General features: G+C 34.2%; 1 long non-coding RNA gene across 1 annotated transcript; it reads right to left on the bottom strand.

The window, feature by feature from the left end:
- Nucleotides 1-696: 696 nt before the first annotated feature.
- On the bottom strand, nt 697-16,622 carry LOC124906132 (uncharacterized). Its single transcript, XR_007088669.1, has 3 exons — nt 16,517-16,622; nt 9,455-9,519; nt 697-773 (listed from the first exon to the last, which is right to left on the bottom strand). It is a non-coding gene; the product is annotated as an uncharacterized LOC124906132 (long non-coding RNA).
- Between the last annotated feature and the right edge of the window lie 362 nt (nt 16,623-16,984).

The raw sequence follows: 16,984 nt of genomic DNA, 5'->3' as shown, positions 1-16,984 counted from the left end.
AAGAGATCAAGAATTTGGAAACCCTGTCACTACCTGGCTAGGGTAAGCCATTGAATCTCTGTAGGCTCAGATTTCTCAGACATAAAATCAAGTATTTAACAGACTGTTTGTATTAACTTTCTATCATTGCTGGAACAAATTACCACACACTTTGTAGTTAAAAAAATAAAACACACACACAAATGTGCTGTTGTAGAGTTCAGAGGTCAGAATTCTGACATGGGTCTCATCTGGCTAAAGGCAAAGTGTCCATAGGGCTGTTTCTTCTCAGGAGGTTCCAAGAGAGGATGTGTTTCCCTGCTCATTCAGGTTGTTGTTCAGAATTCAATTCCTTGTTACTGTGGAACTGGGGTTCCCACTTCCTTGCTTGCTGTAAGCTAAGGATCATTCTCAAGTTTTAGAGGCCACCCAAATTCATGGGCTCATGCCCTCCTTCCTCCAACTTCAAAGCCAGCCATGGCAAGTAAAGCCCATCTCATGCTACACATCTCCCCTGTCTCTTCCCCTATTGCTACATCCCTCTGACTCAATCACCCTGCATCCTCTTCCACTTTTAAGGGCTTATATAGTTACATTGGGTCGAACCAGATAATCCAGAGTAATTTTCCTATTATTAATTAAGATTGAAAAATTAATCTTAACTTTAATAATTTTTGCCTTGTAATGTAACATACTCAAAAATTTTGAAAATTAAGACCTGGATATCTGGGCATGTGTGGGGCGGGAGGAGCATCTTTCTTCTTATCACCATGTTTTCTTCAGATTTGTTACTCCTACAAAGAAAGATATATTTTATCTTCATAGACTTGATCTTCATTTCTCTACAAATCAGTTTGATATTGTGTTAGATATTGCTTTAAGTGGACTTCATAAACATTATATATATATAATTAGATAAAAATCTAGTGTAGTGTGAAGCAAATGACTGTAAGAAAAGGTATATTTGGCTTTATTTTGAAATTAGGTTGTCTATTTTATGTTCATAGAAAAGGGATAGCTAAAATTATCACTTTTAAGGAAATAAAAAGAAAAGTAGAAGGAGAGGGAGACAATTGACTAGTTAGTTTATTTTGCTGTATTGATGGAATTGGCTATTTCAAAGCTGCTGCTATGAGATGTTCATGTTGGCTTTTAAAATAAATTGTGTTTTCTTAGAGCTTGTCAGTGTTTGGATGATATTTTATAAAGAGTATTTTTAATTATGAGGCATCATCCACTTTCCAGAGTATTAGTTAAATGTTAGTATTTAATATCTTAAATATTAATTTTTGTGTGCCAATTTATTTTGCTGGAACATTTTAAGTCTATGTATTTTCTTTGTGTATCCACAACAATTTAATGTCGAGAGAAAGGCATTTTTACAAAAGGAATTATAAAAAATGCCCTTATACAGGCTTTTTAATGTTCTTTTCCAGAAAGGCAATGTGTGTATTATGCCCCCTTTGATCAACAGCCCTCCCCAGTAAGCTTTATAAAAGCAGTATAAATGCTAATGTATCCTAGTCTAATTTTTGCTGTACTGTATGAACATAGCATAATCAAAATAAGCTGCTCTTCCAGAACTAACTCATTAGTTGCTATTTCTTTTTCTCATGACCTTTGGGAAAGTAAATAATATTATAAAGCCCAAACGATCATGTAATGTACATCCCCAAATGAACAAGGAAAATTGCAGTGCATTTGTACAATCTCTGGAATTGGATTAGAGTCCTTGGGGCTGCAGTGCCACCCAGCACAGACCACGTATTTTGCCCTTTACATTGAAGCGAACTGCAAATCATGCAGTTATTTTTATGGTTGCTTGTTCTTTGGTTTGGGTGACAACTTAATATCCCGCAGTAGTAGTTGGCAATAAAATGGTACATATGACTGGTCACAGGCAGTAAAAGAAGCCCTTGTATCTTCTGAATGCTATAGAAAAATCATTGTGCAGTTTGTAATAGAAATAAATAAAGAAATAAACAAATATAGGAACGTAGGTCTTGCTGAAAAGTGACCAGAAAATCAAATTAAAAGCCCATATTTTTCACCATGCACATGGAGTGTGTGCTCTGCTAGATGGGGGGTCTGGGGGTAGGATATTTCCTGTATCTATCACTACTGGCAGTCTTAATTTTCTTCATAAGTTGATTATGAATGTACCAGAGCCCCTGTAACATATTCCTCATCCTTAGAGGCCATTCATCATAATTGTTCTTAGTCTGTGCTTTCTATATTAATAGGAATCATAACATATTTATTATGTCTTATTTGAAAAACATTACCAGGTGCCACATAAATAATTCAGCTTTTTCTAAAATGTATTGGAAACTTTAAAAATACAGTTAAATATATATATATACACATAATTTATATATAGTTATATATAACTTTAAAAACACATTTTGTATATATAACTTTTAAAACACATATATAACATATATAAGTTATATATAACACTGTTTTAAATATATATTTATATATTATATATCAAATATATATATAACTGTGTTTTTAAATATATATACTTCATCAGTAAAACACTGGTGAGAACACACACACATGCATACACTTTCTCTCTTCTCTGATTTGTGATCAGAGAAAGGAGATAAAAAAATTCACTATGTTTTTAGAGGCAGCTCATCTAATCTTCAGTCACAGGCTAGTATCTAAGGGCTTTTATGTCTTGGAAAGTCCTAGATCAATATTTCTCATATTTGTCTGCTATCCGTGCTTGCTACTACTTCTGTATTTTATGCCGTGATCTATCTGTGTCTTACACATTGCCATAATTTATCAATGCTTTCCCCATCTCTATTCTTACCCCACTAAGGACTGGTTGTCTCCTTGCACCAGAGTTAACTCCCTACAAGGTATTTGATCATAGCATACCCTTTACAATCTCCAATGACTCCCATATTCTGCAGAAGAAAGATTGTATTTGTTAGCAAGACAGTGAAACTCTTCTAATGTCCTAGGTTCTTTTTAATTGGATGTTGTATTTTTTCTCTACGAGAAAAATACATCTCTGCTCATTCTTTGCCCTTGGAATAGGCAGCCTCCATACACAATTATGCACCAATTAAATATTCCCTCCCTTTATTCAGTCACTTGAGTAGATAACCACTTTATGTGAACCGATGGCATCTCTCATATCACTTTCTAGTATTTATTTCAGCAAGCTATGGTTCATTTTCATTTCTCCTTCCTTCTCTATTTTAAGGTCTACTATGATAGTAACCATGTTCTTCACATATAACAGGCACCTAATACTTGATGCTGAGTAAAACACTAAGTTATGTTGGCCTCCTAGACAAAACAAGATACAGATCAATATGAAGGCTTGTGATGTGTGTTTGATGTTTGGCATACACAGAGGAAAAAAATGAAAAACACTGTGTGTTCCTAATAAAACTGCTTTAAGGTAATTTAAGTTCTATAGAGTAAGGACGTTTTTACTCACTGATACACCACCCACACTTTAAAGAGTCCCTGGCACAGAGTAACGTTTGCTCAATAATGATTGTAGAAGTAATACTTATCTATGTATCTCTTATCAGAAAGTATAGTAGGCTAAAGACAAATTAATATTGTTGAGGATATTAAAGGTCTAAAAAGTAGCAAGATTATTGCTTTGAAGGAAAAATTCAATTTTTCCTGATAGGGAGTTGATGAAAGGTGATTCAACATAGAATTATAGTGATGGCTAATATTTGAATCCTATGGGACAAAGCCAGTTCATGTTTAGAATTTGCAAAATGGTAAATTTGCAGACATGGAATATCATTAATAGCATTTATTTAAATTTCTTAGAGAAGATGGTCAAAATCATAACTCAGTACTTGATGGGAAAGACAGTAGAAAGAAGAGGAAAAAGTTCAGTATTGTGCCTTCAGAAATGTTTTTCATTTGAAGTGAGAAAAAAATGTAGATAGATAGATGTGAGAATTATGTGAATGACCACTGGAAATCCATACAAATAAAATCTTCATGAGGCCAGGCACAGTGGATCACATCTGTAATCCCAGCACTTTGGGAGGCCGAGGTGAGAGGATCTCTTGAAGCCAGGAGTCTCTACAAAAATTTTTTATACAAATTAGCCAGGTGCAGTGGCATGTGCCTACAGTCCCAGCCACTCAGGAGGCTGAGGAAAGAGGATTGCTTGAGGCCAGGAGTTCAAGGCTGCAGTGAGCTAGGATCACACCACTGTGCTCGCTCTAGCCTGGGCCATGGAATAGGAGTCCATCTTTAAGAAAAAAAAAAATTAAAACTTCTTGAAAGATTGAGTGTATATGTATGTGTATGTGTGTGTGTGTGTGTGTTTCTGTGTGTGTGTGTCTGCACATACACATGTGTATGTGTGAGAATAACGTACATTTGACTAAGTAGAACAGAAAAGTAAATGGCTTAAAATAGCAAATTGAGTTTAGCATCTTCAGAACAAGCTACGTAGTGAAGATGGTTCTAGAGTTGCTCAATTGAGTGTCCATGGAAGACTCAGATTTTTGTCACTTTTTCACTCTGTCTTTGGATTGTCCTCAGGCCCCCTCAACTTCCTGAGGTACTAGACTAATGTCATACACTGATACTTCCATTGACAGATAAATAAGATATAAAACAATGCTGTTCATCTCTCTTTTAAAGTGACAAAAATGTCCTAGTAAAGAGAACTGCATCACACACATCACTAATAGACTAGCCATGGACAGCCTAAATTTGGCGTCTTTACCCCTGAGCTGATAATTCATTTCATCCTGCCTCAGAGATAGTACTTAAATAAAATTGTGTTTTTGTAACAAGGAATAAACAATTAGGCAACTGACAGTGGTGATGTGTTGTTTTCATTATGGATTTTTATGAATTGGTATTTATATTCCCAACATGATTTTTCTACTAAAACACAGAAGATAAAATTTCCAATAGCATATTAATGTCGGATTTCCAATGTGTACAAATTGTACAGGCAAAAATATAGTGCAATACTAACTGACCATTATATGGGTCTAGAGCTATTTCAAGATTTACATCTGTATTTCATCCTACATGTTATCAGAAAACAAACTGGACATTTTATCACGAAAATGAATATTTTTTAAAATGGTGGGTAGATTGTGAACAGCAACAACAACTTATATAGAGGTGTTTCTCTAGAATGCCATGAATGTGCTCCTGGAAACTCAAGTTCTGCAAAATCATGCACTAAAAATATCAGGACTTAGAGAAGAATATTACTAGAAGAAGAAGAATAAGAATCTAGGCAAACTTGTAACTGGGGCTAACGTAATAGCATTCTAAATAATATGCGTAGTTATAAAATAGTATTTCAAATAAATGAATGCTACACTGAATATAAAGATATACCATTATTTAAAAAAAAAGAAAGGGTTTGTAATCAAGGCTTGAGTCTACTAAGCCATGAGGATATGAAAAAACTTTGCAAAATAAATAAAAACAATATGTACTTCAAATGTACAGCAGATGATTGACCAAACCAGGTGCCAGGTGGCAGATGGAAGGGTGAGTAGACCTGGTGCCCTACTGTGCATTACTCTTGCTCACTATATTCTGCCCTTGGATTTTCATTTCAGTTGCTGTTACACTTGCCAGCAGGGCACAATACATTAACAGAATGAGGAGGTGGGAGAGTGGGGAAATATCATCTGAACAAGCAGTCCCTATTTGGCTGACATCACTCCCCTGTATGCCAATCATATATGAGCAACTCATATCACTGAAGCATAGTGTAGCAGTGCTGGTCATATTTAAATAAGTCAATTATGTTTCAAATGGTTAAATTTGTCCAAAGAATTGCTGGGTAGCTAGTTGGGAATGCATTTTTGAAAGGCAACTACTTATTTAGTTGCCAAAAGTCTCTGTATACCCAGTAAATGTATTTGGGTAGTAACTATATGATACTATCATACCAACTTGATCTCAAAATTCCATGGGACTTATCTAGATGTAGATAGGATGAATTATTTTATTCCTCCTAGTCCTTGATCTATTGCTAAGAATTAGGAATGACTGCAATCTAACAATTCCCTCTCCTTATAGGATAAAAGGAAAAATAGAGTGTTAAATAAGCAAGAAAATTAGTGATGGGCATATATTACATAAGACCTTCACAGTTTTTAAGCTGGGTTGCACATTGTTTTCAAACATCTTAGAAATAAAAAGGAAGAGAATTATGAGATCCTCAGTGATTGTAAGTAAAAATGGATTGGCTGCTTAGAAGAAATATAATTTTTCTTCTTGTAAGTCTTAAAGTAGTGGAAATGGTATGGTGTTCTCACTAGCATATTTACAAAACCCAGGGTTTGTTGTTTGTTTGTTTTGTTTCGTTTTGAGGCTATTTTCTATGGATACAGAGTTCAAACTTAAAAGTCCATAATAGTTGAAACTACTTTGGATGACAAAACAAATGTTCTAGTGTCTGGTTTGATAAAAAAATAAGAAAAATTATTTTTAGCTGAATGCTGGTTGCAGATTAAAAGATCATTTGCACATTTAATAATCTACTGAGCCAAATGATAGTTTTTGTTTTCTTATTAAAACTTTTGTTGCAAACAGAACTTACGCATGGATTTGAAGGTTAAAAAAAAAAAGAATTTTCATTAACATGTTACAGATAAAGAATCAATGGTGCTAAAGAGAGAATATATTTTCTGAGAGGGTTGTATTTGAGTGGGATGGGGACATTAGAGTTTTATAGAATTAATCTCAATTAATGGAGTGGAAACAATATTTTCAGAGATATAATTGAAAAATTTTCTATTATTACATATATCAGTATAAACTTTAAACTTCATTATCAAGTTACCCTAGAGTGGCTCAAGTGATTCAAAGTCTGAGTCACATTTTTACAAGATTTGAAATGTACAGTGCCATATGTAATTTAATCTTTGAAGCGTGAATATATGAGTAAAAAGTCTGTTTACAGATGAAACAAAGTGATTAGTTTTACAAAATAATGAGGTTTTCATTTCCATCATCTACAACAACTTTTTGATTATATGTATAGTTGACCCTTGAACAAAACAGGTTTGAACTGGGAACGTCCACTTACACATAAATTTTGTTCTGCCTCTGCCGCTCCTGAGATAGCAAGCCCAACCCCTCATCTTCCTCCTCCTCTTAGCCTACTCAGTGTGAAGATGGTGAGGATGAAGACCTTTGTGATGATCCACTTCCACTTAATAAATAGTAAATATATTTTTTCTTTCTTATGATTATCTTAATAACATTTTTTCTCTCTAGTTTATTGGAGGAATACGGTATATAATATATATAATGTACAAAATATATGTTAATTGACTGTTTGTGTTATTGGTACACCTAACAGTAGGCTATAAGCAGTTAAGCCATTACTTTTAAGGGGAAATCAAAGGTTATACACGCATTTTTGACTCACAGGGGGATGGTGCCCATAATCTCAGCATTGTTCAAGAATCAACTGTAGATATCACATATATGTGAATTTGCTTATTTAGAATTTGGTCTTCTATACATGTGAATAGTTCATATACATATGAATCACCTATAGGATTTTAAAAATATATGTATATATATATACAAGTCTAAATTTTCTAGTACAACCGACTATATTTGAAATAAATCAATATTATTGACAACTTGTTAAAAATTATGTTAGTTGAATTCAGCTTATTTCATATCTGCTTTTAGATAATTTAAGACTTTAAAGTTTAGATTTAAACTTGCAACATCAAGCTATTTATTCAAATAATTAGTCATTATCCTGTGATATAAATGTTAAGTATCAAATAAATAAACATTCATATGTTGATTTCATGACTAAAGTATAATTAACCTGGGAAGGAATATATTTTAAAATGTTTATATTTTTTGCTTTGCTCATAAAATATGATCAATTCATTCTTCTTTCTTAATGAACAGTTATTATGTCTCCAAATATAAGAATGTTTCTTCTGCCCACACTGACTTAAAGCATATATCGATTTTACATACATCTTTTAGATTTTTAAATGTAATTTCTCTCTGAAATATACATATCACTCAATTCTTTAGCTCTCTTACTTCTCTCTTGAGTGTACATTTTGCTCTAATTCTGACTTTTTTTTTCTGTATCTCTAATTTCTAAAAGCAACATTTATCTTGGGAATAAAGATTTTTTTCATTGACAGTTTAGTTTAATTTTCATATGAATCTCATCCATGCATGAATAATTACACAGAGTAGCCTTGAAATTCACTATTACTAGTTGATTGCAAAAGATCTCGACAATATGTAATAAGAAACATAATGTTTTACTATACCACAAAGATATTAGGTCAGCATTTATTGGAGGTATTTGAACTAGTATGCGGGGATAATGCATTTTTTTTCTATTTTTGTTTGTTTAATTGTTTTATTTAAGCCCAGCATGCATTTATATTATTAGAAGGAAGTGTAGAAAAAGAGTGCTATTTAACTGTGTCTTTTTTGGAAACGTGATTGGATATGACAATCTCTTAATTTAACTTCCTGCTCTATTCTAACCTCTGAGAATTTTACAGAATGATTCTCTGATAATTTTCTCCTTGATTTGTTTGACGGCTCTTTTTTCTTATTTTTTTTTTGAGATGGAGTCTCGCTCTGTCCCCCAGGCTGGAATGCAGTGGCAGGATCTCGGCTCACTGCAAACTCCGCCTCCCGGGTTCACGCCATTCTCCTGCCTCAGCCTCCGGAGTAGCTGGGACTACCAGCGCCTGCCACCATGCCCGGCTAATTTTTTGTATTTTTAGTAGAGACGGGGTTTCACCGTGTTAGCCAGGATGGTCTCTATCTCCTGACCTCGTGATCCGCTCGCCTCAACCTCCCAAAGTGCTGGGATTACAGGCGTGAGCCACAGTGCCCGGCCATTGACGGCTCTTTTTAATGTTTCCTGGAGAGTGCTAGCAATTCTACCATTACTTTGTGGCCATCTACCATCTAAACTAAGATGTGCCATTAAATGCTTGTCTTGAGAAAATAATACTTCATATTTGGGGAGACAATTTTATCAAATAACTTTTAAAAAGGCTTGCTGCAAGACGTGCGTGTATGTGTGTATGCGTTTCAGCACGTATTTATTGATTACATGGTGGCATATAATATGCTTAAACCAAGAACATTTGGTTTCTGCATAAGGATTATTGAATAGAAAAATAAGGGATTGTGTAAAACCTGTAAGTGAAGTATACAATTCAAGCAAATAATGTGCATTATTATCTAAAATTACAATATGAATGTATGTGTTTATTTTCAGATTTTCTTATCAAATGTGTAAGATCTAGAAGGCAAATATAGTGCTGTATGTTGATTTTTTAACAATGTCTTAGAGGTAAAAGATGCAAGTTTGTTTCCAGATGTATAAAGGTTCTATTTACATATGTCCCTTGTAATGTTCATATATTTAGCCAGTGGGCAAAATCCAAATGAAACTGCCTTTCATCCAGACTGCCCTTGTTTTACTCACAGTAAAAGATGTCCATAGAGGATCTGATCTTTATAGAAATTTAAATACAGCTGCCTTCCAGTCACCTATGCCAAAAAGAAACAGAGTAGTAGATTATTTCCCTTTAGAACTCATTAAGGTTAACGCCATAATTTTAGACATAAGGAAATAAAAATCTAAAACAATAAGAGAATTCACATATAATTGTATTTTTTAAACTAAAAACATGTAAGAAATACTTATCTTGCTACCACAAAAAGGTATTATTTCAAAACCTCGTTTTCGTGTATAGGAGATAAGCTTGCCTAACAAAACGAATATTGGAATGCAAATAAGGAAATTTAGATTTACTCATTCATTTATCCATAATTTGGATGCATTTACTCTATATCAAGAATTGTGCTACAAACCAAGTGTTTTCTATGCAATAGTGAGGAATATACTATCCTGGCATTTACGAAGCAGGAGCGTGGAGGTGATAAGCAATGAAAAACGTACTGTGTAAATATAGTAAATAATCTCAAACTACTGTAAGGACTTTAAAGGAAAGTAATAGGATAATACAAGAGAAAATCTTTGGTAGAGGACAGAATAGTGGGAAGGAAAGTCCTCTCCAAGAAAGTGGTGATTAGATTGACATGTGGTAAATACACAGGACCAGTCAGGAAACCATAGGAATAAAAATAACTCAAGAATATTTTAGGAACAACATGTACAAATTTGTTGAAAAGAGAAAGAATAGTCTTCAAGATGATGCAAGGGGTTGAGGTACCGATGTGCCACTGGATCATGAAAACAAAGGGTGAGTATAGTTCAGATGCATTTGAAGGCATAGGCAGAAAATGCATCATGCTTTATTGCTTCTGGGCACGCTTCCCTTCTTTCCAGTTCCCACTGTGCAACAACTACCTGTATGAAGATACTGAATCACTTTTCTGGCTTTAAGCACATTTTCCAGTTCTATAAAATGCAGATAACAGTTCTTCTCTCAGCAAGGTTATTTTGAGGATCACACAACATTAGGCATGTGGAAATGATTTAAAAAGTTAAAAATACTATGACTCTATGGGATCAACCCTGTTAGAGTCAAAACCTACTTAGAGCACCATTTGTCTCTGCTAAGCTTTGATATACATAAACAAAGATCAGTTTGTTTTCAACAAGATGTCATGATTTTGTTATATATTTTCTAGATGATTTGGTATCACTAGGGAATTTCATACTGAACCTAAAGTAAATGGCAAGAAAATAAAATGGACTATGTTGATCATGATTAAAGTTAATATTGATCTTACAATATTCTTCTTCCAAAAAGTTCCCATTATACAAAAAAAGGAGGCACTACAGCCTTTGGTAATAAGTAAATGTTAACTAAGAAAGCATATTAGGCAGGGCGTGATGGCTCACACCTATAGTCCCAGCACTTTGGGAGGCCGAGGCAGGCGGATCACCTGAGGTCGGGAGTTCACGACCAGCCTGGCCAACATGGAGAAACCCGATCTCTACTAAAAATACAAAATTAGCCGGGCGTGGTGGTGGGTGCCTGTAATCCCAGTTACTCGGCAGGCTGAGGCAGGAGAATCACTTGAACCCGCGAGGCAGAGGTTGCGGTGAGCCAAGATCACGCCATTGCACTCCAGCCTGGGCAACAAGAGCAAAACTCCATCTCAATAAATAAATAAATAAATAAATAAATAATACAAAAAAGCATAATAGGAAGTGAATTTCCCTCAGTGCAGGCAAATTAAAAGGTCTTTAGGGCACAAGATGCAGGTGGGATATCTGGGAAAGATGCTTATATATATATTTCTGTATTATGCCATTGAATGGGCATAAACGAAGCTTAGCTACCCAGCAGAAGTGCACATCAGCTGGAGGCTTCCCTCATATCTCTTTCAAGCTGTTAACATCTACAACTCCTTGATTCGCATCACTGATATCACTTAAAATGATGCAAATCTCTGAAAGTTTAAATCTTTGGCATCATTTGTTGCTCAATAATAGCATTTTCTTTCTTGAAATAAAATGTTGAGAGGGATAAAGAAATTTCAGGAATCTGGACACCTAAAGCAATAGGAAATATGATGTCCTTAAGTGTCCAGTGGTAAACTGACTGCTTTAAAGTTATCAGCATAGTTTATCCTCGATATATTTAATTTACTCTGACTTCTGTGTGTGTGTGTCTTCCATAACGTCAAAAATTGAAGCAGTATGGAATATCCAAGTAACTATTAATTACAGCAGATCATAAAACTTATTTGAACTCCTGATTCTTGGATGATTTTTTGACAAAGGCTAGTGGAAAAGTAGCTAACTGAGAGTTATGCAGCTCTTTCTTTGTATCATGAGTTTCAGGTCCTGATTATAACAGTATTTTTCTTTTACAAGATATCACAATTAGTCAAAAAAACCCATTCAGAGCTCACGAGAGAACAAACAAGTAGCATGATAAAAATGTGAAGTGGTGGATGAAACCAAGAAAAGAATAGTACTGAATATTTTGAGTAAAGTTTAATATATGTATACATATTTGCATGTGTGTATCTGTGCCTGTGTGTGTGTGTGTGTGTGAGAGAGAGAGAGAGAGAGTCAGAGAGAGAGAGAGAGAAAGAGAGAGACAGAAAGAAAAACAGAGAGGAGGTAGGGCGTAAGGAAGGGAGAGAACAAGACTTGGCCAAATAATATTAAAACTCCAAAGTTGTATTTGCCTAGAGTCATTGTGAACACCATTTTTTTTTTTACCATATCCATCCTGGGAATATCTTGTAAAACATATTTCACAGGCAGGTAAGATATTTTACTTTTTGTATTGCCATGGTTTAATCCACTTGTGAATTTAAAACTTAAATCCGTTTAAAGATTCGGTCCCTTTGAAAATGCTAATCTCAAAAGGATTTTTATTTTTATTTTTGGCAGAAAAACAATCACTCCTCTTTCTGGGGAATTATAAACTACATTCTATTTTATTCTTATTGCATTTTTTTACATTAATAGTATTCTCTTAATACTCTAGTTAGGATGCTGCCTATCTTATAATTCTATCAACATAAATTGAAAAGGCATTCTTGGAAATGAAAAAAGAATTATATTAAAGTTTTATCAAAATTTTTTTCTTTCCTTTTTCCTTTTCACTTCAAAACACTGCACTCTAGTATTGCTTTTACATTTGAGGCTAAGTCTGCAACTCAAAAAAATATTGATTCTTTTATGTGCAGGATGTTCTTGGCCACAGCAGACAGCACAAATGAATAAAAATACATGTGCTTTCTTCCTCTTTCCTGAAAGAGAAAGACTCATCATCTGTCCCTGGTCTTTCCTGATCAAGGCACCACACCCATTGGTTTAATGTGATGTAAAGCATTTCTACAAAACAATTCCACAGAAGGTTTTATCTTAGGAAAGTGAAAGAAGAGAGAAAAACTAAGAAACTTTTTTATAATGACACATACTATCAAATATTTATTAAGTGCCTTCTAAATTCCCAGCATTGTGCTAGAGTCTGGTGATAAAATGGCCAGAAGAAACTTACATGCTCCCGGATTTCTTGGAACCTATGCTCTTGTGAGATCAGGAAGGCCAGTTGTGTGGAAAAGAGCATTAGCATTTTGAGAAACTCCTGATGGTCAGCAAGTTATGGAGTAAAGTTTATTTTAGTCTAAATATTTATTAATAACAATCCAGGTTCAAGGTCTACTACCAATTAAATTCTCAAACGTACAATAGAATTTAAAACACCCGCCTCACAGTGCTTCCTAATAACCTAAATAAGAAAAGGCTGTGAAAATAACATTGTGTACTTTTTCTGTTGATTTTCAGTGTGTTCTGATTTTTGTTGTTATTCTCTAACATATTCTCACTTCTTTTAACATTTCCAGATATGCAATAGTGATATAGATTGATATGAATTTGTTGAATAAAAGACCGCAAAATACTTGAATGATTGAAGATAGTGTCATTTTGGTACTTGAAAATTACTGGGGACTCCCTATTTAAAATATAGGGGTCTGCATTTGAAGTGTATCAGGGCGATTCTACTTCCCCGTTATTCCTCCAGGAAACCATATTTTCTTAACTAGTAAAGAAAGATAACTTGTTAGATTTTTTTATATGTTCTAATGTTAAAATGTAGAATACACAAAATTTTGAGATACACTTGATTTTATTTTGTCAAACTTTTGACATTGTTAACCCAAACCCTGAATTTTTTTATTAATGGCAAAGTTGTTACATATTTCTAAGAAGATAGCAAAATAAAATAGGAAGGAATATTGAATTACAAATGAAAGCTGCAATTGCATAATAAGGCTATTATTGCTGCTAATAATTTTCTTCTCAACTCTGTCTTAAGATATTGGCACTATTCTGAAGAGAAGGAGAGAAAAGGGGGATACTGGAAAGACTAAAAAAGGAAGTTTCGGTTTAACTTTGTTTTCTCTCTTTGTCTTTTTTCATAAGACTTGTTCAGAATGTCCTTTTGGATTTAAGCCAGAAATATCGAAGCACAAATTTTTATGACAGCCAGCCAGATATTTCTCAGCCAAGCCATGGCTTCGCTCTGCAAAATTTTCTTAGGTTTACAAGTAATAGTTTGGGCTGAGGAAAAGTAGATTCTCTCACAGGTAGCAATTATTTTTTTAAAGAAGCTGTATATGTGTATGTGTGTGTGTGTGTGTTTTCCACAAACAGAGTCATGGCATACGATGGCTTACAAATGAGTGATTGTCTCACTTACCCTAAAGAAACATGACCTATACTAAAGCACAGGAAAGAGAAATAGCCCCTCTGAAAAAAATAATTGTACAGGCAACAGTCATGGTTTACATTACTGGGCAGTGTTTAATGTTGATTCAATAAGACAAAAATAATGCCTCACATAATTCATTAGGTTATGTATACCCACTTTTAAAAAACTGAATGTTATAGAGAAGGATGCTCACCCTTAGGCTATCAAAGCAGGATTAAAATGGATTTCCGAGATGAGCATTGGACTAAGAATTACTTAACATCCTTTCCATAAACCCCTTATTTTGTTTTACTTTATCATTGACAAAGTTCAGTTGAACACATTATTATATTTAAATCACTAACAAAACTGAGAGGTAAGCAAACCTATTTATCCATTTTAATGTATACCAGAAATAAATTGATTTGTCATAATCAGTTAGAATGCTTTTCAAAGACTAGAGTATAAATTTAAGATTATGTATCCCTCTTCACTCCACCATGGAGGCTGTTTGTATCTTCTGCCACCTGACCTTAATCAAAAAAATTAATATTTTGAAATTTGCATCTCATCTATGTTGTTCCTCCGCAGACATCATGTTTTTAATCAGTACTGCTCTTCCTCTACAGAATTCTATATGAATATTTCACATATATTTCAGACAGTTACGCTGTGTATGTAAATAGGCATTTTAAGCTTCACAGAATACAAAATTTCAAGAGGCAGTAGCAATGCCTGCCCAATTATACCTTTCTTGTTTTAGTCAAGAATGAGTATATAACTACAGTCTTAAATTTATCATCCATTTTCTTATATAGCGGGTAAGTTTTCATAAACATTAATCTATTCAACAAATATTTATTAACATATTACTCTGTAAGTTTTTAAGCTATAGGTTGCACATATGCATTTGAACGATGCCCAGATCTTGAAAAAAGAAATAACAGAGACTTTAAATTATGTAAAATAATTAACTTTTACATTACTTCAGTCCAAATGCAGGCATCTTTCACAAGAGAAATCCATTCTTTCTTGTAGTTCACATCGTTTTTGTTAGAGCTCCCATCTTTATGTGACTATCTTTGCCCTTACCTGATTTACACAAAATTATTTTTATATTGAATCTTCTTTATTATATAAAATCATGTTATATTGCATTTATTTCAGATCTATATAATTGTTGAGGAAAACAGAATATTAAGACTACTTCTGACCCTTTTATATTTGTATACTTAGAGTTCTGGCATCCTCTAGATGGGCATTCAAATATCAGCCCACCTGTAGTCTTGGTTTTCTGGCTTTAGGCAAACAAACCTCTAAAAGCCCCAGTAGCCTCCTCCGTAAGAGGAAGGTCACAGAAATGACTACTTCATTGGTTGGTTGTATAAATTTTAACAGGTAAGCATGCAAAACACTCAAGCGGTCATCTAACACATTAACTTTCACTATTGTTATTTTGTTTTTATTTTTGGTTTTGTAAAAAATTGTCAACTCTAATCAATGATTATACTAGAAATGAAGAGAGGCTTGGCTTTCAGATGAAACTGAAAGAGCCTTTGCCTACAATGAAATTATTTAAGTCACTTATAGGCATACAGAAACTATTTGGGGCCAAATACCAATCCAAGATAAGGAATTACATTATTTTAGAAAAACTATAAAACTCTAGAAGTCAGTAGCACAAAGCAGCACTGGAAAAATATGTTTTTTTAGAAATTTGTTTACAAAACGTTACATGGGATTATACACATATATGCATACCACACATGTATGTTTATATATTTTTATAGTCATATAGATACAAATTATTTATATTTTTATTGAATCCCACCTCCATATCTTACTCAGGGAGTTTATGTCTTCAAGATATGTTAGATTTCACCATGTGACTTGCTTTGGTTTATGAAGGGTGGAGACTAACACCCCAACCCTTTGCCTTGAGCCTGGCTTTGGGAAATACTTAGAAAATGTAATGTTAACATATAGAATGAAAGCAGAGATTTGAAAAGTGCTTAAGACTGATTTTTTCCCTGGAGGTTTCTGCCTTCAACAGAGTAGGCACTTCCTCCCTGCCCCTCTAGCCACTGCTACTTATACTATGGATCTAAAAATAATGAACACTTGTGGAACAGACTGATATTGTTTGGATGTGTGTCCCCTCCAAATCTCATGTTGAAACGTCATCCTGTGTTGGAATGGGGACCTGGTGGGAGGTGATTAGATCATGGGAGTGGATTTCTCATGAATGGTTTTCCATCCCATTGGTGATAAATGAGCTTTTGCTTGGTAAGTTCATGTGAGACTTAGTTGTATAAAAGAGTCTCAGACCTCCCACTTCTTTCTCTCTCTCACTTACTCACTTGCCATGTGACCTGCTGCTCCTGCTTTGCCTTCTGGCATGAGTAGAAGCTTCCTGAGGCTTCACCAGAAGCTGAGAAGATGCCAGCATCATGCTTCCTGCACAGCCTGCATAAGAATGAGCCAAATAAACCTTTGTTCTTTATAAATTACCCAGCCCCAGGTATTCCTTTATAGTAATGCAGAATAGACTAAACAAGACCTATGTCCAAAATGCCAATTCTATCCAGACCTCAATATTTAAAGCAGAACATCTTGGCAGAATCCTACCAAGACCATCGACCCCCAGCCAACTGACAGACTCACAAGCTAGATTAAATGATTGGTATTTAAAACTACTGAATTTTGAAGTGCTTATGTAACAAGAACTGGCTGATATAGAATTGTTTATTCTAGATCTATAAAATTTGAACATTTAGGCAAGTGTTTCGCTATTGCATTCAATAGCATTTAAAATACAGGTGAAATGT

This window comes from Homo sapiens, chromosome 2 (assembly GCF_000001405.40).
Source record: "Homo sapiens chromosome 2, GRCh38.p14 Primary Assembly".
NCBI lineage: Eukaryota > Metazoa > Chordata > Mammalia > Primates > Hominidae > Homo > Homo sapiens.
This window is presented reverse-complemented; position numbering and strand designations above follow the sequence as displayed.